This window comes from Homo sapiens, chromosome 12 (assembly GCF_000001405.40).
Source record: "Homo sapiens chromosome 12, GRCh38.p14 Primary Assembly".
NCBI lineage: Eukaryota > Metazoa > Chordata > Mammalia > Primates > Hominidae > Homo > Homo sapiens.
This window is the reverse complement of record NC_000012.12, coordinates 48,099,881-48,125,611: the sequence shown is the minus strand read 5'-3', so window position 1 is coordinate 48,125,611 and position 25,731 is coordinate 48,099,881. Positions and strand designations below refer to the sequence as shown.

Here is a 25,731-nt window from a genome sequence, read left to right as displayed (position 1 = left end):
TTCACTCTTGTTGCCCAGGCTGGAGTGCAATGGTGTGATCTCGACTCACCGCAACCTCTGCCTCCCGGGTTCAAGCGATTCTCCTGCCTCAGCCTCCCAAGTGGCTGGGATTACAGGCATGCACCACCACGCCCAGCTAATTTTGTATTTTTAGTAGAGACGGGGTTTCTCCATGTTGGTCAGGCTGGTCTCGAACTCCCAACCTCGGGTGATCTGCCCGCCTCGGCCTCCCAAAGTCCTGGGATTACAGGTGTGAGCCACTGCACCTGGCCGATCCCGTCCCATCTCTTAAAAAAAAAAATCAAAAAGATAAACATACATTTGTAATGGCTGGCTATCTGGAGACAGAGGGCCAGAGCAGATGACTGACTGAGGTCCTTTCCAGGGGTAGAATATGCCGATGTCATAAGGCTAAAGGTAGCATAGTTTTGGCGGCTGAAGCCATTCCTAGGCTGGAAAGGGAATTAGGATTTGGTACGGCATCAGCCCAGCATCCCAGAGTTCTTTGTTTTTGAGCTCAGGATGTCTGATTCCTGGCCATTTTTCTACCTCAAGAGATGATTAGCTTTGCTGAATTTGGAGAATGACAAAGCTGTGACCTCTATGGATTTTACACAGCTCAATCTCACTTTCCCATGTGGCCCACAAGCCCTAAGGGAAAAAAAACAAAACAAAACATTTCTATGTTTTCTCCCCGGGAGAACTAGAGTCCATCAAACTCAGCTCTGGGCAGGCGACTTCTGAATTTGAGCTTCTCCTTCAGCTAGGACCTCTCAGCTCTATTTTGAGTTTTCTGTTTTGCCTCCTTGCCTCCATAGAATTTCAGTTTCTATCACTCTCAATCCCTAGTGACATGTGGCTGTGATGTTATGGGGATTTGCAGGTGGGCTATTTCCCTGGCTACACTGTGCCTATCAGCTGGGTCCTTCAGAAATCAGCTTATCTATAGTCCCTGCCTCCATAAAACAGGGTCTTTTTCTTACAGCAGTGAGTTATGGTCTTCACTAGAATAAGAGGGTCTCACTGCTCAGGATCAGAAGGTGGAAGGGCTCTGCTGCTCTGAGACCCAAGTTAAATCCTAGTCTGACCTTTCTTTCTCTCTTTCCCTCTCTAAAAAGCTCTTCTTCATTTTATAACTCTGTGCATCTCACTTGGTTTGTTTAGCAGGCTTTCTTCTTTCTTCCCCTAATCTGACAATCTGGGTCCACAGATCATTCTACCAAGGTTTCAGGATCAATGCTCAAGTACATGTTAAAGAATTCAGTATTGGCATGGTACTCTGCCAGCAGAGAAGACAGATGCAATAAAAGCCAGATCTGTGGTTTCTGCAAACTCAACTAGGGCTCTGCATTCCTAATCTGGTCACTATTCCTAAACTCAGACCTCCGTACCCTCCTTCCTCAGTTTCTTCATTCTAGCACTTTCTGATTCATAACCTATATCACAATTATAATAAATATTAGTTTAAAAAGTCTAGCTTTACTAATATACTAATAAGTATCATAAGAACAAAGATTGCGTCAGACTTTTTCACTGATGTATCACTGGTGAACCTCATCATCATCCTGATTGACACAGTAGATACTCACTAATTCATTTTTAATTAATGATCACATGTATTGAGTATTTACGATGTGCCTGCTACTGTTCTAAGCACCTTACTTAAATAAAGAGTTCAGTGTCTTGAAATCTACCTTCTCCATGAAGTTTTCACTGATTAATTCAATCAGAGGCTATCATTTCATTATGTAAGTAGATTCCACTTGGTTAATGCACACTTGCTTATTTTTATTTATGTGCCTTATGTAAGAATTCTAGTTTCCTCATTAAACTATAAATTCCTAAAGGAATTCAACTTCTTCAAAACATACAAGACAGGGCTCTATACAAAGTGGGTCCTTAGCGCAAAGTCTAAAAAAGCCTAGGAACAGTGGTGCAGAGGAGGGGAGCCTAGCTGAAATCGCTTTCCTTCTCTCTTTCTAATTGTCTCCATGTCATGTATCCTTTTCAAAGAAATTCTACCTCTTTTCAATGTATCAGAATATATCAGAAGATCAAAGGAGAAAAAGTTTTTTTTAAAAAAATCAATACCCTCTTACTCCCACTCCGTGTTTCCTATATACCTAATTTTCGTGACTCCCAGGTTTCTTAAATTCAACCTAGAAAAGGGTTTTTGCTGGCTCTGTTTTCTGCCCCTCCACCTCATACCGGATCTGTATTGATTAACTGCTGCTGTTCCTATTTGTTCAAGGGGTGATGAAAGGGAAGAGGAGGAAAGGCCAGAGAAAACCGAGTGCCTGACTGACCTTGGTCAGTGCAGGAACTCTCCAGACATCAGAGTTAATACCTGAAGACCTAGTTGGGACCCACCATATACTAATTCTGGGTCTCCTCCCATCCCCACCATTACCAAAGTACATGAAGTTAATCCACTTACTGCCTTCTCAATAACTTTATCTCTTTAGTTTCTTTCCAATGCTGCTTGAGAAAACACCACTCTTTTAGGTTCCCAAAGACCAAAAGAGCCCCCTGTCTTCAAAGAAACTTGGAAATAAGTTTTATGAAGATGTGGGTAAATAAACGCATGGCAAATAAAATTCAAATGCACTTGAGGACTTAGGCCTCACAGAAATTTTTAGCAAAGCCCAAAATTCCCGTGAACCTACAGAAGAATAATTCTATTGTATAGGCTAAGGGAGTCAGTAAATTCCAAAAGTCCCACCAGCCATGTTTTTTGTCCCCTCCTCCTTACCTTGGGCATCTCCACCAGAGGTTAAGACAGCAATGGCTTTGCCAATCCCCAGGGTTTTGGCTGCATGGTGCTCTTCATGGGTCATGATCCACTCTAGAATTTAAGACAATGGTCAGTTAAGACACAGCAGGAATCAAGATGCCACTAGCTAAAGGAACGGCAATTAGACTGGCTAGAGCCACCTCAGTCAGGCTCTCCCACTATACCAAGTCTGAGCTTTGCAGCCTGAGAGCTTTGGACTTCTTCCAGAGGAAAGCCACACCCTTGTAGACTGACAAGCTGAAATGTCATGTAATCAAGCCCAAGACTACTAAGGTCCTAATTCCTCCCTGATCCCTCCCACCCCAATTGGAACCTATTTGGGGAATAAACTAAGGTCAGGGAAAAGAGAAGTTGACTGAATAGAAATGAGAAAGGGAGGAGAAAAAGTTGAGTTAGCCTCAACGATCCCTCCCTTTTCAATGAAGGGATAGGTTATTGCAGAGGGCTGGAATCAGATGAGGTTTAGGGCACTGATGACAATCAGCAAAGTAGAAGTAGAAGAGCAAGGGTAGGTTGGATTATAATTAAGATTAGGGTTGGGTGTTATGGAATTGTGCTATTGGAATGGGGTTAGGTGATATGGAGTTGAAACTGGAGTCTGAGGCTATAAAGGCACATCAGAGTTAGGCAAATTAATGGTGTCAGTCTCAAGAATGGTCAGGGGCTTTCTATGGCTCTTCCCTCTCAGGATGTCAGCCTCCTGAGCATCTCTTGATCCTTGGTCTTTGGGTCTTGCCCCTCACATTACTACATGCTATGAAATGAGAAAATTAACACAAAGTCACTGCCGTATATACACAGATGTGTACATACGACATGGGAACACCTTCATATTTTATTCTTTAGGGATCACCTCTCTCAAAGGAACACACAAGAGGACGTATTTTTGTATCCATAAAATGCCAGTAGAATTATCACTCTCCCAGTTTTTCAGGCTAAAACCTGTTATTTTAAATTTATCTCCTCCCTTCCTCTCAGATTCAAAACAGTAACTAAATCCTATTATTCTCCCTTCTTATTATCTTCCTTTATCCATCCCCTCCTTTCTATCCTCATTGCCATTTTCCACCTGAACTGCTTACTACAATAGCTGGTTTCCCTGTGCTTGTGTTCCTTTCTTCACTCTATTAGACACACAAAATAAACCTTCATAGGAAGGTCATAGGTCCCTAGGCTTCAGTGGAGATGTGTATTCATTCACAGGAACCCAAGTTTTACGGGCAGCTTGTGCTTGCTTCTACCCTGCATTTGGAGAACTCAGGGTAGCTGCCTATAGAGACATAAGTCACATAAACACCCAAATCCACACAAATAATAAAATAATGCAATGAGACATATATGAAGACATACATTCACAAACATGCATTGTGTTAACAGACAGAGATTAATGAACGTACTACATATAATCAGTACTAACAAATAAGGTCCCAACTTGTTGGGTTGGCATTCGAAGCTTCTACAATTTAGCCCTTGCATATAGCTTCAACTGTTGGTCCTATAGATTCTCTGCTCCATTGTCACCTGAACATTACTTTGCTCTTCCCACTTTAGTGCCTGGGCACACTGCATCCCTTGTCCAGGTGGCTACCCTGGCCCTTTCCACAGATTCACATCCCATTCCATCATTTAAGACCAGTGATAGTTGTACCCTTATTAAACCTTCACTGATTACCACAGGTCAAGGAAACCTTCTTTTGGACTTCCTCTAACCACATGTTGTCTAAACTGGATCACTGCCTCCCAGGTTCAAGTGATTCTCCTGCCTCAGCCTCCCGAGTAGCTGGGATTACAGACATGCACCACCACACCCGGCTAATTTTTGTATTTTTAATTGAGACGGGTTTTCACCATGTCGGTCAAGCTGGTCTTGAACTCCTGACTTCAGGTGATCCGCCCACCTTGCCTCCCAAAGTGCTGGGATAACAGGCATAAACCACCATGCTCGGCCTGCTTTATGTGGCATTTTAATAGTTTCGTACGCACTGATAAGAGGGTTGGACTAGATCAGGGGTCAGCATACAACAGCCTGTAGGCCAAATCCAGCCCTTCTCACATTTTTGTATGGCAGTAAGCTGTGAAAGGTTTTTATATTTTTTAGTGGTTGCAAAAAGTACTTCATGACATGTGAAAAATGTTAAGTTCAAATTTCAGTATGTGCACTACCTTCGTTCATTCACGTATTATCATGGATGTTTTTGTGCTACAACAGCAGAATGGATATTGTGACAGAGACTCATAAGCCTGCAGTTTAAAATATTTACTATCTGGTCTTTTACAGACGAAGTTTGCCAACCACTGGACTGGATGGCTGCTAAAGTCATTTTTCCTAACTAGACTGAGAACTCCTCCAGGGCAGGGATCATGATCATTTTTAAAAACTCTCCCACAGCTCACTAAAGACTTGCAAAGTCTATGCACATTACAGGACCCCAATAAATACTTGTTGAAAACGTTAATGAACTGATGAACTACATGAAATACAAATATATGAAAAATGTAAAATCGGCTTAGATACAGATATACCTCCATATTCTACTTTAAAACACACTTTTAACTTGGACTTGAGAAATCATATAGTGACAAACAGTGAAAGGAACATAGAGACACGCGTGACTAGAGACGCTCTTATTTAACTGGAATGTTCATGTCCAAATTTCTGCTGTTTTCCAAAAAGAAAGATTAAGTGACTAGGGCAAATAGGAAGGCAAAAAGGTGGAAAGGAAAAAACAAGACATCTGGGTATGCTGATCCCTTTCCTCCCGTTTTTTCTTCTCATTCACTCTTGGAGCTCATGACGGGGGCAGAATCCCACACAGAGCTCTTCCACCCCTGGAAGCGTCAGTGAGGGAGAAAATTCGCCATAACAAGAGGAGTTTAAGAGTGCTGACCTGTAAAAACCGCTCATATTCTTCTCCTGAAATCTCTAAGACAGTTATAGAGGCACAGGACACAGAAATTCATGCAGACTCATGTATAAGCATCCCTTACAGACCCACAATGACACGCACGTAGACAAAAACAGACAGATATTAAAACATATCTCTAAAATCACGTGCGTATATAAGCACGCGGCAGGGAGGAACAGAAAAGCAGCATCATAGGAGCACTGATTTGAATTGGGTGAGTGCCAGGGTAGGGTCAGGCAGCCAAGGGCAACCCGTCCGAGCCCCACCCACCCATCCCAGATTCCTGGGGAATGCAGCTGAGCCTGCAAGCGGAGGGGACTGGCCAAGGGGCTAGGATCCTTCACGACTGCCCTGCCCATCCCCCTCTCGGCTCCAGCTTAGGATGCCGTATCTCTTCTTTTCCTTTCTGCTCCTTTCAGTTCTCCCTACCGCCTGCTCCCGGCCCATACCTTCCCACCTCACTCCCAGCTCTCCCCCTTGCTCTTCACTCAATGGCCCCTCTTGCCTTTTAGTCTTAGCTCTCCTCCGCCGCTGCTTTCTTGCAGATTGTCCTTGGGAAAGGGGGGAGGGGTGATGGACGAACATGGGGAGGAGCCAGGTGGAGGCAAAGAGGGAGGGGGAAGGAGGAGAGGCTTCCCAACCTCCACTAACAGATGCTGACAAGAAGGCTCCGCCTCCTCCTGCTTGCCTTTCTCCTCCTCTTCCTCCTCCCCCTAAGTACTCAGCTCAGATATGGCAGCGGCTTAGTTCCTTCACTCCCCAGAGTCCTGGGGTCCTCATATCTATCTCGAGAGCCATCAGCATCTTTATTTAATGGGAATAATAAATTATTTCGTTGCTTCTCTTGTTTTCAACACAGAACTTTTTCCTAGTCCAGACTGCCTGAGACACCTTGCATTCCAACATCTTCAGCAACTGCTAATAAAACCTGCCCCTGTGGCCCTCTATCCGTCTTTAAGCAAACATTTCTTGGGAGTCTGTGTGCTAGATTTTGCATTAGGTGCCGAGAGGTTTAAAAAAAATAAATATAGTCCCTGCCTTTGAGGAACATTGAATTATGACATCTTCTATAGAATAGCCTCAAAAACTTCTTTTACATTTACATTACCTTTCTCAGAGAAAGTACAGAAAAGCTAGCTATTTGGAATGAAAGTGTCAAGAGGGAAGGGCGTGTCTGTGAGGCCACTTCTCAAGCCTGCAGTGGGGAGGGATGGGGGCGGGATTCTGGCAGTGAAGCAAACATATAAATTGGGCTTCACAGCAAACAGGATCCACTCTGGAAAAAGGGTCAGATGCTCCCAGAGCAAGAGGTGCATCCATTACTCAAGTCTCACCTTCCCTTTGCTTCATTGTCTCCACAGTCGGGTCTCCTCTTGCTTTTACCACTGCCCTCTTCCTCTTGCTTACTTGTATCTCTACCTCTGCACATTCTGGCACAAACAATACAAATGCAAGTGACTAGGAGATAAAACCCCATTTGACTACACAAAATAAAAGCATTTGTTCTCCAAATTATACCATCAAGAAAGTGGAAAGACAACCCACAGAATGGGAGAAAATATTTGCAAATCATGTATCTGATAAGGGGCTGGCATCCAGAATAAATAAAGAACTCATTTGCAACTCATTAAGAATGTAAACCAAAAATAAAATTATAAGCCCCTCAACCATCTGAATAGACCCCTCCTCTCAGTCAAGGGTATTCCAAAGTTAATCTGAAAAACTAGTTCAGACGTTGATGGAAAGGGGAAGCCAGACACACTTCATTATATGCTCCTCCCTTTTGGAATTACTGATAGAACAGACTCTTTAAGTCTGATAAGAAACATTTACAATCTATTCTCTGAAACCTGCTACCTGGAAGCTTTGTCCACCTGATAAAACCTTGGTCCTCACAGATTGCTTTTCTATTAAGTCTTTGGACAATAACTTAACTCTTTTCACCAATTTCCAATCAGAAAATCTTTGAATCTACCTATGACCTGGAAGCCCCGCTCCCCCCTCCCTGCTTCCAGTTATCCCGCCTTTCTGGACTAAATGAATGTACATCTTACATATATTCATTGATACCTTATATCTCCCTAAAATTTATAAAACCAACTTGTGGCCCGACCATCTTGAACACATGTTCTCAGGATCTCCTGAGGGCTGTGTCATGGGGGAGCTATTGGTCACTCGTATTTGGCTCAGGATAAATCTCTTCAAATGTTTTACAGTTTGACTCTTTTCAGTGACAATAAAAAGAAAATACCTCAATTTAAAAATGGGCAAAAGAGTTGACCAAAGAAGATATACAGGTGGCAAATAAACATGAAAAGATGTCAACATCATATGTCATTAGCGAACTGCAAATTAAAACAGTGAGACACCACTACACACCTATTAGAATGATTAAATGATTAAAATTCAAAAATCCAAATGCTAATGAGAATGTGGAACCACTGGAACTCTCATTAATTGCTGGTGGGAATGCACAATGGTACAGTCACTGTAGAAGACAGTTTGACAGTTTTTTACAAAGCTAAATATTGTCTTACCACATGATCCAGCAATAGCACTCCTAAGTATTTAGCTGAATGAGCTGAAAATTATGTCTGCACAAAAAACCTGCACATGAATGTTTATAAAAGCTTTATTCATAATTGCCAAAAGCTGGAGGCAACCAAGATGTCCCTCAAAAGGTGAATAAACAAACTGTGATACAGCTATACAATGGAATATTTTCCATCAATAAAAAATTATCAAGCCAGGAAAAGACATAGTGAAACGGGCCAGTGTGAAAAGGCTGCATACTGTATGATTCCAACTGTATGACAGTCTGGAAAAGGTAAAACTACGGAGACAATAAAAATATCAGTTGTTACTGGGGCTTGGGATAGAGAAGGAGAGATTAATAGGTGGAGCACAGGGGATTTTAGGGGCACTAAAATGATTCGGTATGATGCTATAACAGATACATGACATACATTTGTCATGACATTATGCATTTGTCAAATTCATAGAACTATACAATCCAAAGAGTAAACCCTAATGTAAACTATGGAACTTAGCTAATAATAATGTATAAATATTGGGTTATCAATTATCACAAGTGTACCACACTAATGCAAGATGTTAATAAGTAGGGAAAACTGGCCAGGCACAATGGCTCACACCTGTAATCCCAGCACTTTGGGAGGCCAAGGCAGGTGGATTGTTTGAGCTCCGGAATTTAAGACCAGACTGGGCAACATGGTGAAACCCCGTCTCTACAAAAATACAAAAAATTAGCCAGGTGTGGTGGCACATGCCTGTAGTCCCAGCTACTCAGGAGGTTGAGGCACAAGAATGACTTGAGCCTGGGAGGCAGAGCTTGCAGTGAGCCGAGATTGCGCCACCACACTCCACCCTGGGCGACAGAGTGAGATCCTGTCTCAAACATAAAAAATTTAAAAATGAGCAAAGGCTTGAATAGACAGTTCTCTAAAAATGATATATAATGGCTAAAAAGTACAAGAAAAGATGCTCAACATCAATAGCCATTAGGGCAATGCAAATCAAAACTACTTCATTTGAAGTGAAAATACTACTTCATATCCATTAGGATGGCTATTATCAAAAAAGAAAAAAAGAAAGGAAGGAAGATGGAAGGAAGGAGGTAGGGAGGGGTGGAGAGAGAGAAAGGAGGGAGAGGGGGAGGGAAGGAAGGAAGGAAGGAGAAAAGAAGGAAGGAGGGAAGGAGAGAGGGAGAGGAAGAAAGGAAGGAGGCAGGGAGTGAGGGAGAGAGAGAGGAAGGAAGGAAGGAAGGGAGGGAAGGGGGGAAAGGAAAAAGAAAGAAAAGTATTACAGCGGATGTGAACAAATTGGAACCCTTCTGCATTGCTGGTAGGAATGTAAAGTGGTGCAGCTGCAGTGGAAATTTGGCAGTTCCTCAAATGTTAAACATAGAGTCATCATATTAATTAGCAATTCCACTCCTAGGTATATACCTACGAAAAATGAAAACATATGTACACACAAAATCTGTATACCAATGTTCATAGCAACATTATTCACAATGTTGGCAAAATGTGGAAAGAGCCCAAAGTCCATCAACTAAAGAATGGATAAATAAAATGTGTCATATAAATATGACAAAAAGTGTCAAAATTTGTAAAATATTTGAAGATATTTATTCTGAGCCAAATATGAGTGACCAATGGCCTGTGATACAGCCCTCAGGAGATCCTGAGAACATGTGCCCAAGATGGTCAGGCTGTCAGGCCTCTGAGCCCAAGCTAAGCCATCATATCCCCAGTGACCTGCACGTATACATCCAGATGGCCTGAAGCAACTGAAGATCTACAAAAGTGAAAATAGCCTTAACTGACGACATTCCACCATTGTGATTTGTTTCTGCCCCACCTTAACTGATCAATGTACTTTGTAATCTCCCCCACCTTTAAGAAGGTTCTTTGTAATTCTCCCCATCCTTGAGAACGTACTTTGTGAGATCCACCCCCTTCCCTCAAAACATTGCTCTTAACTCCACCGCCTATCCTAAAACCTATAAGAACTAATGATAATCCACCACCCTTTGCAGACTCCTTTTTCGGACTCAGCCCACCTGCACCTAGGTGAAATAAACAGCCTCGTTGCTCACACAAAGCCTGTTTGGTGATCTCTTCACATGGACACGTGAAACATTTGGTGCCGAAGACCCGGGTCAGCAGCCTTCCCTTGGTGTTTAATTATCGTGGGGATGCCTCTCTGATTATTCACCCATGTTCCATTGGTGTCTGATCTCCACAGGGACGCCTGCCTTGATCATTCACCCGTGTTCCCTTGGTGGCAAGTCAATTGCAGGGATGCCTGCTTTGGCTGCTCACCCACATTGCAGCCCAGAGCTGCTCCCCATCCCCCTTCTCCATGACTCTACTCTTCTCTTTAAACTTGCCTCCTTTACTATGGGCAACCTTCCACCCTCCATTCCTCCTTCTTCTGCCTTAGCCTGTGTTCTCAAGAACTTAAAACCTCTTCAACTCTCACCTGACCTAAAATCTAGGCATCTCATTTTCTTCTGCAACACCGCTTTGCACCAATACAAACTCGACAATGGTTCTAAATGGCCAGAAAACGGCACTTTTGATTTCTCCATCCTACGAGACCTAGATAATTTTTGTTGAAAAAATGGGCAAATGGTCTGAGGTGCCTTACATCCAGGCATTTTTCACACTTTGTTCCCTCCCTAGTCTGTGTTCCCAATGCAACTCGTCCCAAATCCTCCTTCTTTCCCTCTGGCCTGTCCCTTCAGTCCCAACCCCAAGCGTTGCTGAGTCTTCTGAATCTTCCTTTTCTACTGAACCATCTGACCTCTCACCTCCTCCCCAGACTGCTCCTCCTCAGGTCGCTCCCCGCCAGGCTGAATCAGGCTCCAACTCTTCTTCAGCCTTTGCTCCCCAACCCTATAACCCTTCTATTACCTCCCCTCCCCACACCCGGTCCGGTTTACAGTTTCGTCCTAGGACTAGCTCTCCCCCACCTGCCCAAAAATTTCCTCTTAGAGAGGTGGCTGGAGCTGAAGGCATAGTCAGGGTACATGTGCCTTTTTCTCTATCAGACCTTTCCCGAATCAGCCAGCGTTTAGGCTCTTTCTCATCAGACCCCACTAAATATATACAGGAATTCCGACATCGAGCTCTGTCCTACAATTTAATCTGGAGTGACCTAAATGTCATCCTAACTTCTACCCTCTCCCCAGATGAATGGGAAAGTTTTTTCTCTAGCCCAATCGCATGCTGATAACTGCTGGCTTCATGAACCACACCTCCAGGAAGGCATTAGAGCAGTTCCCTGAGGCGATCCCCAATGGAACTATCCGGCCGATTCCCCAGATATAGCTAGGCGAGACTACATGGTTTCCTGCCAAGTTGAAGGGCTTAAAAAGGCAGCTTACAAAGCTGTTAATTATGACAAACTTAAAGAAACTACCCGAGGTAAAGAACCCAGCCCAGTTCATGGCCGGCTTAGCAGCAACCCTTAGACGCTTTACCACCCTAGACCCAGAGAGGCCAGAAGGCCACCTTATTCCTAATAAGCATTTTACCACCCAGTCAGCTCCTGACATTAGAAAAATCTTCAAAAATTAGATTCCGGTCCTCAAACCCCACAAAAGGACTCAATTAACCTTGCCTTCAAGGTGTACAATAATAGAGTAGAGGCAACGTATTTCTGAGTTGCAATTACTTGCCTCCACTGTGAGAGAAACCCCAGCCACATCTCCAGCACACAAGAACTTCACAATGCCTGAACCCCAGCGGCCAGGTGTTCCTCCAGGACCGCCTCCCCCAGGATCTTGCTTCAAGTGTCGGAAATCTGGCCACTTGGGCCAACCAATGCCTGCAGCCCGGGATTCCTCCTAAGCCATGTCCCATCTGTGCGGGACCCCACTGGAAATCGGACTGTCCAACTCACCTGGCAGCCACTCCCAGATCCCCTGGAACTCTGGCCCAAGGCTCTCTGACTGACTCCTTCCCAGATCTTCTCAGCTTAGCGGCTGAAGACTGACGCTGCCCAGTCGCCTCGGAAGCCTCCTGGACCATCACAGACGCTTTAGGTAACTCTTACAGTGGAGGGTAAGTCCGTCCCCTTCTTAATCAATACGGAGGCTACCCACTCCACATTACCTTCTTTTCAAAGGCCAGCTTCCCTTGTCTCCATAACTGTTGTGGGTATTGACAGCCAGGCTTCTAGACCCCTTAAAACTCCCCAACTCTCGTGACAACTTGGACAATACTCTTTTAAGCACTCCTTTTTAGTTATCCCCACCTGCCCAGTTCCCTTGTTAGGTCAAGGCATTTTAACTAAATTATCTGCTTCCCTGACTGTTCCTGGGCTACAGCCACACCTCATTGCTGCCTTTTTTCCCAGTTCAAAGTCTCCTTCATATCCTCTCCTTGTATCTCCTCACCTTAAACCACAGGTATAGGATGCCTCTACTCCCTCCTTGGCGACTGATCATGCACCCCTTACCCTCCCATTAAAACCTAATCACCTTTACCCCACTCAATGCCAATATCCCATCCCGCAGCACACTTTAAAAGGATTAAAGCCTGTTATCACTCACCTGTTACAGCATGGCCTTTTAAAACCTATAAACTCTCCTTACAATTCCCCCATTTTACCTATCCAAAAACCAGACAAGCCTTACAGGTTAGTTCAGGATCTGCGCCTTATCAACCAAATTGTCTTGCTTATCCACCCCGTGGTGCCAAAGGCATATACTCTCCTAACCTCAATACCTCCCTCCACAACCCCTCCATAACCCATTATTCTGTAGTGGATCTCAAACATGCTTTCTTTACTATTCCTTTGCACCCTTCATCCCAGCCTCACTTCACTTTCACTTGGACTGACCCTGACACCCATCAGGCTCAGCAAATTACCTGGGCTGTACTGCCACAAGGCTTCACGGACAGCCCCCATTACTTCAGTCAGGCCCAAATTTCTTCCTTATCCATTACCTATCTCAACATAATTCTTCATGAAAACACACGTGTTCTGCTGATCGTGTCTGGCAAATCTCCTAAACCCCAATCCCTTCTACAAAACAACAACTCCTTTCCTTCCTAGGCATGGTTAGGTACTTCCACCTTTGGATACCTAGTTTTACCATCCTGACTAAACCATTATATAAACTCACAAAAGCAAACCTAGCTGACCCCACAGATCCTAAATCCTTTCGCCGCTCCTTTCTGTTCCTTAAAGACAGCCCTAGAAGCTGCCCCCACACTAGCTCTCCCTAACTCATCCCAACCCTTTTCATTACACACAGCCAAAGTGCAGGGCCGTGCAGTCGGAGTTCTTACATAAGCCAGGACCGCGCCCTGTAGCCTTTTTATCCAAATGACTTGACCTTACTGTTTTAGCCTAGCCATCATGCCTCTGTGCAGCGGCTGCCGCTGCCCTAATACTTTTAGAGGCCCTCAAAATCACAAACTATGCTCAACTCACTCTCTACAGCTCTCATAACTTCTAAAATCTATTTTCTTCCTTACACCTGATGCATATACTTTCTGCTCCCTGGCTCCTTCAGCTATACTCACTCTTTGTTGAGTATCCCACAATTACCATTGTTCCTGGCCCAGACTTCCATCCGGCCTCCCACATTATTCTGGATACCACACCTGACCCCCATGACTGTCTCTCTTTGATCCACCCGATATTCACTCCATTTGCCCATGTTTCCTTCTTTCCTGTTCCTCACCCTGATCACACTTGGTTTACTGATGGCAGTTCCACCAGGCCTAATCGCCACTCACCAGCAAAGGCAGGCTATGCTATAGTATCTTCCACATCTATCATTGAGGCTACTGATCTTCCCCGCTCCACTACCTCTCAGCAAGCTGAACTCATTGTCTTAACTTGAGCTCTCACTCTTGCAAAGGGACTACGCATCAATATTTATACTGACTCTAAATATGCCTTCCATATCCTGCACCACCATGCTGTTACATAGGCAGAAAGGTTTCCTCGCTACGCAAAGGTCCTCCATCATTAATGCCTCTTTAATAAAAACTCTTCTCAAGGCTGCTTTACTTCCAAAGGAAGGTACAGAGGATCAGAAGGGCAGCAGGGGGCATGGGCAATGCTGGTGATAGATGGCCTAGATGAAGTGAAAAATATGATAGAAAGCTCTTATCTTCCAGGGAGAAGCTGTGACACAAGGAGCAAATGGGTGAAGCAGCACTCCTTTGGAATGCTTCCCACATTTTCAGGTCACTAGAAGTAGTCTTGAGAGTCACTAGTTACCTAGGCAGGTTGCCCATCATCGAAGTCTTTATACACAGGAGAGGCTTTATGTCTAGTGGGCAGTTGGATCTGCTGGATCAGAGCCTGGACCACAAAGGTGCCTGCTACCCCTGAGCTTTTTTCCTGGAAGTAGTTGTCCCACACTCTTACCTATCTTGAAATGCTAACCACCTTTCTTTGAAAAGCCTAGGGGTCAGGACATAGGGGTAAAGTGTACAGCCTAGATGACTCACACCCTTGCTATGCCCCAGTGTAGGATCAAGTGGCTTTCTTATGCCAGGAGCTGATCCTCTATGGGCCACACACACACACAGCCTGCCTCATTATAGTACAGGCAGAGCTGCTTATACTGATAGGCAAGATGTTGGAAAAAACAGCAGCTGCTTCCCTGCCAGGTAAGAGACAAGAAAGAAATATATTCCATTTTTCTTAAGGACTAGAGCACAGAATCTCCATATACAACTGCACTTAGAACAAGGAGCAGAACACCCTGGAGGGAGTCCCTGTGAATTTCTTGGGCTGGCAGAAGCAGAAAGACATCAGGCCAGGGGTTTTTTATGTTTGGGCACCAGTAGCTCTGTGCTCATCTCTGTTGTTTGACGACATGAGTTCCTCACCATTTCACTGGTGCCCTATAGTGATGCATTGCCTAGAGGTGAGAAATGGAGCAAGGCAGTGGCATCCATCTCATTAGAGCAGATAACTACCCTCGTACCTCTCCAATCCATCCTCCACCCAGGAGCCAGAAAGATGTTTTAAAACGCAATATGATCCTATCATTCTTCAGTGATTTCCCAGAGCTCAAAAGTGTCCATAAGACCTAGAAGGCACTGCACAATCTGGCTCTTACACCACCTGTACAGTTCACTCTCCCGCTATTCCTCCCATCATCAAGTCACATTGGCCCATTCTGCTCTTTCCCGTTTCACAGCCTATTGTCCCCTTTTCTGGAAAGCTCTTCTCTCTTTGCCTGGCTAATGCATACTCATCCCTCAGGTCTTCCTGAGAAAGGTTTTTCTGACTTCTCAGGCCATATTACACCCCCTGTTTTATCCTCTGATTACATGGAGTTATTTTCCTTCATTGCACTAACACCATTCTAGTTATATAACCATGTGTGTGATTGTGTGATTACTGTCTTAGTCCCACAAGACTATAAACTTCATGAGAGCAGACAATGTACCTGTTTTGTTTACTACTTTATTCCCAGTGCCAAGTACAGTACTTGACATAGTATGTGCTCAACACATTCTCTTGGAAGGAAGTCAAAGAAGGAGGAAGAGTAGGAGGGAAGGAGGAAGGGAAGAGGAAAGGATGAGGAAGGAAGCAGGGAGGTAGGCAGAAGAGGAGGAATGGAGGCCTTATTGGTGCTGGGAAAATATTAGATTTCCTTTCTCTAGTAGGAAAGCTGAAAGGGTTAAGAGTGGCCACTTAACTGAGCCACACAGACCCCAGGATTTAAAGGCAGAAGTTGAACATCAGAATTTTGTCCATGAGACAATGCTGAGTTCAAACCACAGAAGCAGGTCCAAATGAGTCATCAGAGCAAAGGGAGTCTGAGGTGAGTTTTAGGTACACCAGAGCAAAAGGAGAATGAAAAAAGCAGGAAAGATGAGGGCAAATAAGAAATAATCTGTACAAATTCAATAAACAATAGGAAAAAACCATCAGCTGGGTTTATTTCTTGCTGCTTTCTATGCAGGGGCAAAGGAAGTCTGATTAAAGGGATGTAGACCACAAACAGTTGCAAAAGGAAGAAAAGAAAAAAGGAAAGAAAAGAAAAAGAAAGGAAGGAAGAAAGAAGGAAGGGAGGGAGGGAGGAAGGAAGGAAGGAAGGAAAAGAAAAGCTGGCTCTGAGCAGTCAGCTGGCTGTTCTCTTCCCTACATCTCTATGGCATCTTATTTTGAACCAAAGTTATTTTGAACCCTACATTTCTATGGCATCTTATTTTGAACCAATTCAACATTTTGAACCAAAATTATTAAGTTCTTAACTTACACATTGTTCCATATTATCTCCCGTCCTTAATCATAAGCTCCTAGGGAACAGGGAAAGTGTCTATTTCATTTTCTCATTTCCTACAGAGTCTAGCCCAATGATTTCAAATAGTGAGTGCTCAAAAATATGGCTAAATACTGATATATATTTCATAAGTGCTAGGAGTTGTTACTTTAATGAAATTATCAACTTTCTGAGGAAAACCTTTTAGTCCTGAGTTCCTTCTGAAAATATAAGAGAGTTGGGGTAAATAATCGCTAAGGCATTTCCAAAGTGTAAGCTATTGGGGCAATGGCAAGGATATGCCTTATACATATGTTTTATAATCTATCATTTCCAGTATATTATTGGGCAAATAGCGGGAACTCAATAAAGGTTTCCAGTGAATTGACTCCAATATAGATGTATTTAAGTTAAGACGAAATACATAGATGTGTTTCTGAAGCTTCATATAAATTGCCTGTGAATTGAACATTTAAAAATACATGAGAAATCTATTATTAAATGGTTTCCTAAGATGAAAATTTTTTACAATATTTAGAATCATTTTGTAAAATAATAACTCATTTAGTCAACTTTCTTAAGTTTCACATATTTATATATCAAGGATGCTGACAATAGGATAAACCAGATTAGTAGTTTACAGTTATGAGCCAATTGATTTAATATTGACCAAATTAAGTTATTCTGCATAGAGATGTGTCTGTTTCCCTACAATTTCCCAGATGATCCATCCCCACCTCTCTCCCTTCTTCCTTTCCCTCCCCATCCCTCTTTCTCTTTCTCTCTCTCTTTCTCTCTCTCTCTGTTTCACACACACACAGACTTTCCCCCTTGGGTCTTATATTTCAGCTTTAGTAGGTCTACGCTGATTTATAATACTATGCATACAACTTTCACTTTCCCATATTCCTTTGAACATTTCTCACTGTTGACCCACATGCCTCACCAGTTTTGAAAACAGGTATGCTTCCCACGGTGTCTGGATCATCCATAGTATCTAGACTCTTCAAGATGTCTGTCTTTGGTGGTGGCTTTGGTATGAGCATGCTGGAAGTAGAAGCTTCCCCAGCTGAGAAACAATAGCTTTAGGTCACCCTCAAGGTGGGATTCTGGGAAGGGAGTGTTCCTTACTCCCTTTCATTTTCCCTATGACTCTGAGCTGTCCAGGGCTTTCTTTCCAAAAATCCAGTGAAAAATTAGAGACGCGATGTACCTCAAAAAGATTCTATTCCCTTGACATACATGGGGGAAAGCAGAACATATAACTAGATACTTTGAGGTGGGGTGGATGAGAAGGCCATTTTTCCTTAGGGCTTGATTTATCTGATAGTTTTGGAGTGTCAGTTATAATGACAATAAAGATTCCCACAGATGAGCCCAGACTGGTCGAAGTAATTCACATAACAACACAATAATGACAAGCTCATGGGATAAATTTTGTTCCCCCCTCAACTCTCAAGTCCTCCTTATCTGCCTGGCATCTATCACAACAAACCAGGTCAAAATCTTACCTGGAAAATACACGACTCAGTGATCAATATTTTATCAAAGTGAGAATGTGATAAACAAGGTCAGTTGACCCCTAAAATCCGTATTTACACTAGAAAGCCTCACATCCTGTATTTAGACTTCTTGTGAGAGAACCCATTCTCTGTCACTGGAGTATGATCAGGAGACAAGGGTACCTGTTCTCTGAGGAGTCCTGACTAACTGGCGAGACTGAATCACACACATGAAAAATTTCAGATGAAACTCGTCTTTATGCATGGCTGCCTCCTAGAAATAGAGACAGAGTTTAATCCAAACGAACAGAGCTGTGAAATAAGATGTCAGTGACTGACATGGACCAGCTACACTCATGACTACTTGGCCTTAGGACTTGACAATATAATATAAAAGTATCAGCACATGAGGCAATACAAATAATCTACTTTGATGTATTTGACAGGGGAGGAAACCCTGAACTCAGCAAGCTGCTGAGAGTATCAGAAAGGCTGGGGGCCTCCAGAAACTGCCCTTCTTTAAGTCTGAGCTCAGACTGTGCCTGTGGCTGTGATCTGGGTGTAAAGGACCTATTAAGGGGGCATTTCTCTAAGACTTCTACAGGGCCTGGGTCCAGAGGCCTGCCAAGCTGAGGTGCTTGACAAAAAGCCTGAATGAACAAACATATTTCTTCCCATTATGTTCTCTTAGAAAGTATGGCAGATTCCAGGTTAATCAATGTGTCCCAGGAACAACAAAGCCCTTCAAAGGTCACAGGTGATTCCTGGGTCCTTCTCTATCTCTACCCAGAAAAGCAGATCTCTAGTGGGCTCCCAAAAGCTTTCCTCACAGCTCTGCCTGTTTCAAATTCCTCCAGAGTTCTGGAAGGTTCTACATCTTGCCAGAGTCTAGCCTAATCCGTCCTCAAGTTGCTTGTTTGTTTGTTTGTTTGCTTGCTGAATGGTCAATCAAGTATGAGGTGGTGCAGAGTACAGGATTGCAAGTTAAGAAACTTGTTTCCTAGTCCTAGATGGGCCGTGCACTTAAAACCTTTGGGAAATCACTTCACTTCTCTGAACCTGGTAAGACTAAAGTATCTCCAATAACCTCTACAAGCACTAACGTTCTGTGATTCTCAATAAAACACGAGATAGCCTGAGATCGATTTAGATCTCAGGTCCCTATCTGTCGGGGGAAGCCACAGGTTTCCGCAGATTTAGGGCCACCGCGAAAAGCTGCCATGGAAACTGGAACGCAAGCAAGCAAAACTCGCCGGGCGGAACCAGAAGGCGGCGGGTAAGGGAGCAGAGGGAACAGAGAAAAGCATAGGACGAAGGGCTCACTAACAGTATTCCGAGTACGAGAAAGCGAAAAAGCCCAGACTGAAAAGGGTACTGAGAAATTACGACTAGTCTTAAATGCTCCCTTCGCTTCTCGGGCCTCGCCACACCGCGCAGGCGCCCCACTGGTCCTTAACTCTGTTCTTTGACCTCCTGCCCCAGCCCCCTCCTCTTCAGCCACCTAGCGACTCTTCCGGTGCTGTGAAGGCGGTTCCGGTTCGCGGCGGTTCCCGGGTTTTGCGTTCCGCGCCCGGCCGGAAACCCCTTCGCATGGCAGCCGGTTCCGGTTCGGTGAGTGGCGGCGGGAAGCTGGGGGAGGGGTGAGGATGGAGGGAGCCTGGTCCAGGAGACTGTGTCGGACCCGGTCAGCCGGCCCGGGCTGGACTGGGCGGAAGCGGGGAGCACTGTGGGGCCGGCGCCTTTTCCTCTGCCCCGCCCCCTGGGACCACCTCCCCTCCCCCCTGCTGTCCGGTGGCCGCGCTGTGGCCGCCGGTGGCCGTTAGGCTACCTGAGGCCGTTCCTTCTGGTCTCTCTCTCCTGGGCCGCGGAGAGACCGTCTCCCTGCCGTTACAGCAGGCCCCATCCCAGCGCCCAGCCGTACTTGGGGAAAGGCCGGTTGCGATTCCGGGGCTTTCCCGCCAGAGCTGGGTCTTCTCTGGGGAGAGCTGTTTTCACCGGGAAGCTCGGCTTTCTGTGGTACCGGCTTCATCTCCCGCCTTCCTTGAGACCCGAGTGATATTTCTTGACTACTTCTGCGTCTCACGTAAACATTTCTCCAACTCTCCTACTCTGTGGTATCTCCCTGAGATGTGATATCGCTAGTGCCACCATCAGAAAGAAACGTCTGGACCCTCCTGCTCAGGTTATGAAAATCCCCTTAACTGCCACAATTTGCTTACCTGGCTCATCGCCTCCTGGTAATTCCCTTGAACCGTCTCTTTCTTGGTGTACCCTAACGTGATCTCTGGATCTATGCCTCGTTTCTCTTTCCTTGAGCTTGGTGATTTCTGTTTATCGGTGCCTGTGCAGTATTTCCACTATCTTGTTAGCAGTAACTTGCTTCTTTATCACTTTCAAGTCAGCCTTGTTAAAGTCATTTTACTTCATATTTGGTACACTTATTATATTTGGAGTGGTGGTGATTCTTGTAATATTCATATAAAGCCTTTTATCTACTACCAACTATTTGACTGAGGGTCTTTGTTATAATTGGTTATTCTGGATGTATTAGATCTCATCATCTCCTAAATCTTTATTCTTCATAAAAATAATTTGTGTTAAGGACTCATGTTGAAATACAGATTACCCTGACTTTGAAATTACAGTTAAAGCGCAACTTTAAGCATCTCTATAAGCATGATCCCTTAACCTACTTCCAGTTTACACTCTACCACCCTTTATTTTTCCTCTCTAGTCCCTTTTAGGAAGGCTTATTCATTTTTAACTGACTTCAATTAATTATCCCAACTGCAAAGATGGTCTTCATGTCACTCATCTAATGAGTTGTCTAGAGGGAGTGGATGGGTACAAAAACAGGTTCTGCTACTTCTGGCTAAGGGAATGCAGTTGTTGACTTGCATTGCGGCTTTGGAACTCTTGTCCTTTTCTTCCCAACTTCTACATCTTCTATCAGTTGTACCAGCTCTACTGTCTTGCGGTACCTGTTTATGGATCTGGCTTTCCCTACTGGACAGTGAGCTGCTCAGTGGCAGGGACCCTTTCTTAATGCACGTAGTCGGTGCACAGTAAATGAATGTGTATGAAAGAATTTGAACACTTAGGGTTTACGGCGTTAGAGTGTTAAGGTATTTAAGGTGTTAGAGTGATTGGGAGAGATTACATGTAAAAATAGAAGGAAAGAACCTCAAACACATGACGATATAGTACAAACTATTGTACACATAATTGTTTTTCAGAACTTGGAAAAGGGTGATTTCACATGGTTGCTTTCACACCCTTCTTATATCATAAATTGTTCTAACCACATCTTGGTCCTGGATAAAGCTAACATTGCGTCTCTCTCTCTCTCTCTCTCCCTCCCTCCGCCCCCCCCCCCCCCCCCGTCTCTCTCTCTCTCTCTCTCTATATATATTTTTTTCTTCTTTTTTTAGACAGAGTCTCGCTCTGTCACCCAGGCTGGAGTGCAATGGCTTGGTCTTGTCTCACTGCAACCTCCGCCTCCCGGGTTCAAGCGATTCTCCTGCCTCAGCCTCCCGAGTAGCTGGGATTATGGGTGCCTGCCACCATACCTGGCTAATTTTTGTATTTTTCGTAGAGACAGGGTTTCACCATGTTAGCCAGGCCGGTCTTGAACTGCTGACCTCGTGATCTGCCCACCTCGGCCTCCCAAAGTTCTGGGATTACAGGTGTGAGCCACCGTGCCCAGCCTCAATATATATTTTCTAGTAACTTCCTTGCAGCCCTAGACATTGTCTTTCATAATCCCCTTTTTGCATATATGTAAGGTTATAAGTGTTTCACCGCAGTTGTCAAGACTGTGATCTTTTTTGTTCTTTCAGGTTTCCCATTATCTTGTGTTCCACTACTAACCTGACTTCATCTGAATGTCTGTAACAGCTTATGTTCTTTCAGTAAATTACATGACCAGTGTATACTAGGAAATGAATTATTAGAATCATTTTTTTTAAAAAGAAAACATTTTTACAGTTGCTTGAATTTGGTGGCATCAGAGGTTCCAGATCCAACATTTTCATGGAGAATCTTGGGGTAAAATATTCCTTCTCCCAATGTAACTGCAAGTGGCTAAAAGAATGTACCATAAGCACACTGAAGTAGCTGGATGTATTTGTAGTAAAATATAAATGTGGGGTTTTAATTATTTAAAATTATAAATCAGTGTGGATTCCCCAGGGTTAGTGAGGGATTACTTTTAAATTGCCAGTGTGTATTAATCTTTGAGGTTGTGTTAAAGGATTTGAAGTTGTATAATGTTTGAAATGTGCATTTGCCCTGGAGTCAGGATACATGGATTCTTGTCTTCTTTTTGCCCCATCTGTGTGATTTCAGGGAAGTCACTTAACCTCTCTGGATATAATCGGTAAAATTCTTTGAATTTCTAGCTTCCTTTTCTCTTCACATCTATCCCAACAAAATGCAAGGAAATTGACATGGGATTATTCTGTTGGGCACCAAGCTTTTAAGTTGGCATTCTTCTTAATAATAATTTTAAAAAGGCTAGTAATGACAATTATGAAGCAACTTTAAAATGTCAAAAAAGTGTTGCTAATATATTAGTTGATAAGATTTTTTCCCCCTTAATCTGGAACCCAAGGGAGTCTACTCTATTAAAGAAGAAAGAAGGGGAAAGAATAACCTGAAGAATTTTTAGTAAAGAAGCCTTTTAAGTTGAGCATTTGGAAATATATTTGAAGCATAAATCTAAGGCTTAAATTCTTTAGGGATCCTTCCTGGCAAGACTAGGTAATCAGATAATTACTCTGCTTAGTCTATAGCTATGCCAAGAAAACTTTTTTTTTTTTTTTTTTTTGAGACGGAGTCTCGCCCTGTCGCCCAGGCTGGAGTGCAGTGGCCAGTGGCGTGGTCTCGTACGCCAAGAAAACTTTAAGCTGCCTTCCTTTGTGTGACTTTCATTATTGTGACCACAAAGAATGCCTATTATCATCATCCAGCCTCATGAATACATTGAAGCCCTAGTATTGCTATGTGGTTGATGAAGTGCTTAATATTTTTTAAAAATATGGTTATAAGATTATAAATATATATAGGTGTGACTATTACCATCCCTAGTAGCCTCCTCCTCTTGGAAATCTACCAAGACCATATGTGCCGAGGATATGTTTATTAACCTAGTTCCAAGCAGTTTGGTTGTGTTTTTGTGTTTGGTTTTTTTTTTTTTTTTTTTTTTTGAGACAGAGTCTTGCTCTGTCGCCCAGGCTGGAGTGCAGTGGCATGATCTCGGCTTACTGCAACCTCTGCTTCCTGGGTTCAAGCAATTCTTCTGTCTCAGCCTCCTGAATAGCTGGGATTACAGGCACGTATCACCACACCTGGCTAATTGTTGTATTTTTAGTAGAGATGGGTTTTCACCATGTTGGCCAGGCTGGCCTCCAAGTCTTGACCTCCTTGGCCAAGTGATCTGCCCTCCTCGGCCTCCCAAAGTGTTGGGATTACAGGCGTGAGCCACTGCACCCGGCCAGCAGTTTGGTTTTTAACATCTTTATTTTGTGGAAAAAGTGGATACATCAGAGGAGACAGTAATTTTTATATAGGCAAAGGGGCTTTGGTTTGTAGCAGTTTGATTGATGATGTTGGGGGAAGTACTTTGTATTACTCCAGAGTAGTTCTTGATTGTCATTAGAGTATCAGGCTACTGAGTAAGACATGGAAGAAAAGTCTTAATAGGACCATCACAAAGTCTGTCACTTGTTTATGAAGTGATTTAGCATGAGGTAATAGAACAATGGATTGGGAAGAATTTCTAGGTTATAATTTCGGTGTAGTTGCTAACATTATGACTTTATGCAAACCACTCAGTCTCTTAAGGGTTGGCGCTCCCAATTTGCTTCTTGCTTTAATATTCTGTGATTCTGTGCGTAGTCTGTAATTGCTGTTTAATGTAGTACAGGTTGCAGAAATGTTTGGAAGTACCTCAAGCTAGTTTTAGTTTTTACTCTTTTCCCATCAAGTCAACTCTTTACCACCTTAGATTTTTCTCCACTAAGAACACAAACAAATGTCACTTCTAGTGGCTGCACCTTCTAAAATTAAGTGAAGTAGGTGTTTCAGTATGTAATTTTTCTGTTTTGTGTCTTCTTTTATAGGACTTTGTATCTTTGCTAAAGTCAGTGATGTGAAAAGACTTGAAATGGGTAAGACTAACTAGCTGTTGAATCCTTTTAGCTACTTTCATTGGTTAAGCTGTAGTGAAAGAATGGGTTTTCCTAACATTTTCAGTATTTGTATCTTTGTGCTTAATAATAATTTTAAGAGAAATTTTAATCCTAATTATGTAATACTATATACCAAACAAAATTATTATTATTGCTATTTTTGAAACGTAGTCTTGCTCTGTCACCCAGGCTGGAGTGCAGTAGCACAATCTCAGCTCACTGCAACCTCTGTCTCCTGGGTTCAAGCAATTCTCCTGCCTCAGCCTCCCAAGTAGCTGGGATTACAGGCATGTGCCACCACGTCCGGCTGATTTTCGTATTTTTAGTAGAGACGGGGTTTCGCCATGTTGGCCAGGCTGGTCTCAAACCCCTGACCTCAGGTGATCGGCCCACCTCAGCCTCTCAAAGTGCTGGGATTACAGGCATGAGCCACCGCACCCAGCCCACATAATTATCTTTTGGTTAGAACATTGTTTATATGCTCATTTAGGAGTATTATCTCATTGATTGTATTGAAAAAGTTAAGTATACCCTAGCAAACATTTACTGTGTACTAGACCCTGTTCTAAGTATTTAAAATATATTGGTTCATTTAATCCTTATAACCATCTTACAAGGGTACCTAATAGTACCTACCAAGTAGGTTACTGTTGTTATCCCTATTATATCACAAGGAAACTGAGACACAGAAGTTAAGAAGCTCGCCTAGAGTCATGTACTATAACTGGCTGAGCCAGGATTTAAACCTAGGCACTCTGGTTCTAGAGTTTTCTAGAGTTCTCGTTCTTTTTTTTTTTTTCTCTTTTTTCTTTTGAGACGGAGTCTCGCTCTGTCACCCAGGCTGGAGTGTAGTGGTATGATCTCAGCTCACTGCAACCTCTGCCTCCTGGGTTCAAGCAATCCCCCTGTCTCAGCCTCCCAGGTAGCTGGGATTACAAACATGCGTGCGCCGCCAAGTCCGGCTAATTTTTGTATTTTCGGTAGAGATGGGGTTTCGCCATGTTGGCCAGGCTGGTCTTGAACTCCTGACCTCACGTGATCCGCCTGCCTTGGCCTCCCACAGTGCTGAGATTACAGGGGTGAGCCACTGCGCCCAGCCAAGAGTTCTTGTTCCTTAGTACTATGTTATACTACTTCTAAATGATAAATAATTTGATTAATGTAAATATTCTATTTCATTTAGCTAGTGTTACTGAGAATTGTGGTTAGGACATTTTTCACTATTTCATTTGTAGTACTTTATGTCTGTTAAGGGGATCAATATAAGGTCAGGACTAGTAGCTAATTTAGGAATAAGTTGAAAAATCTATACACTTAGGTCTTATAACATCCCATATGTTCCTTTTACATTCACATTAGCTTTCTCTCTATTCTGTGTTTTCCTTTTCCTTAGTCTGCCTTCTCCTTCCCTGTTCATTTGTTTCCATTTTCTCTCATTGCTGATAGCAGTGTAAGTCGTTGAATTCTGTTACGTTTATTGCTTCTATTCTAGCTCTTCTATAGTAACAAAGGTATCAAAAATGGTTCTGAAGTAAAATTCTGCCATAATATTATAGTTATTGAGCTG

The 25,731-nt window shown here is 43.4% G+C and overlaps 2 protein-coding genes across 54 annotated transcripts in view, besides 5 other annotated features; one reads left to right on the top strand and one right to left on the bottom strand.

Moving 5' to 3' along the window:
* The window catches only part of PFKM (phosphofructokinase, muscle), a 41,052-nt gene extending 20,793 nt beyond the window's left edge, over positions 1–20,259 (bottom strand). For 9 of the 38 annotated variants that reach the window (NR_148957.2, NR_148954.2, NR_148958.2 and 6 more), the window contains exons 1-2: positions 6,206–6,248; positions 2,753–2,845 (exon numbers count right to left, since the gene is read on the bottom strand). Coding sequence is in view for 31 of the 38 variants with exons in the window: in NM_000289.6 (NP_000280.1) it covers positions 2,753–2,837 (85 nt within the window). In the remaining 7 variants the exon portion in view is untranslated. Of the gene's footprint in view, positions 1–49; positions 288–2,752; positions 2,966–5,682; positions 5,794–6,149; positions 6,383–7,034; positions 7,131–17,417; positions 17,541–18,156; positions 18,248–19,300; positions 19,740–19,801; positions 20,132–20,192 lie in introns of those variants that run through there. The other 29 variants (XM_047428999.1, XM_011538487.2, XM_024449020.2 and 26 more) reach the window with 24 other exon arrangements.
* Positions 6,583–6,652: an enhancer, noted in NCBI's record as "active region_6279". NCBI's record gives its function as "activates an Ori minimal core promoter by ATAC-STARR-seq in GM12878 lymphoblastoid cells {active_cell/tissue: GM12878}" and the evidence as "EXISTENCE:reporter gene assay evidence [ECO:0000049][PMID:35858748]".
* Positions 18,787–19,660: an enhancer, noted in NCBI's record as "H3K27ac hESC enhancer chr12:48499735-48500608 (GRCh37/hg19 assembly coordinates)". NCBI's record gives its function as "activates a minimal SCP1, AML or CMV promoter by ChIP-STARR-seq in primed H9 embryonic stem cells {active_cell/tissue: H9 hESC(primed)}" and the evidence as "EXISTENCE:reporter gene assay evidence [ECO:0000049][PMID:30033119]".
* SENP1 (SUMO specific peptidase 1) overlaps positions 19,533–25,731 on the top strand; it is a 63,183-nt gene continuing 56,984 nt past the window's right edge. For 6 of the 16 annotated variants that reach the window (NR_051991.1, XM_011538244.4, XM_006719361.4 and 3 more), the window contains exons 1-2: positions 19,620–20,210; positions 24,096–24,143. Coding sequence is in view for 11 of the 16 variants with exons in the window: in XM_011538244.4 (XP_011536546.1) it covers positions 20,159–20,210; positions 24,096–24,143 (100 nt within the window). In the remaining 5 variants the exon portion in view is untranslated. Of the gene's footprint in view, positions 19,585–19,619; positions 20,211–24,095; positions 24,144–25,731 lie in introns of those variants that run through there. The other 10 variants (XM_017019237.2, NM_001267594.2, XM_017019235.2 and 7 more) reach the window with 4 other exon arrangements.
* Positions 19,661–20,536: an enhancer, noted in NCBI's record as "H3K27ac hESC enhancer chr12:48498859-48499734 (GRCh37/hg19 assembly coordinates)". NCBI's record gives its function as "activates a minimal SCP1, AML or CMV promoter by ChIP-STARR-seq in primed H9 embryonic stem cells {active_cell/tissue: H9 hESC(primed)}" and the evidence as "EXISTENCE:reporter gene assay evidence [ECO:0000049][PMID:30033119]".
* Positions 19,666–19,805: a silencer, noted in NCBI's record as "silent region_4405". NCBI's record gives its function as "represses an Ori minimal core promoter by ATAC-STARR-seq in GM12878 lymphoblastoid cells {active_cell/tissue: GM12878}" and the evidence as "EXISTENCE:reporter gene assay evidence [ECO:0000049][PMID:35858748]".
* Positions 19,946–20,155: an enhancer, noted in NCBI's record as "active region_6278". NCBI's record gives its function as "activates an Ori minimal core promoter by ATAC-STARR-seq in GM12878 lymphoblastoid cells {active_cell/tissue: GM12878}" and the evidence as "EXISTENCE:reporter gene assay evidence [ECO:0000049][PMID:35858748]".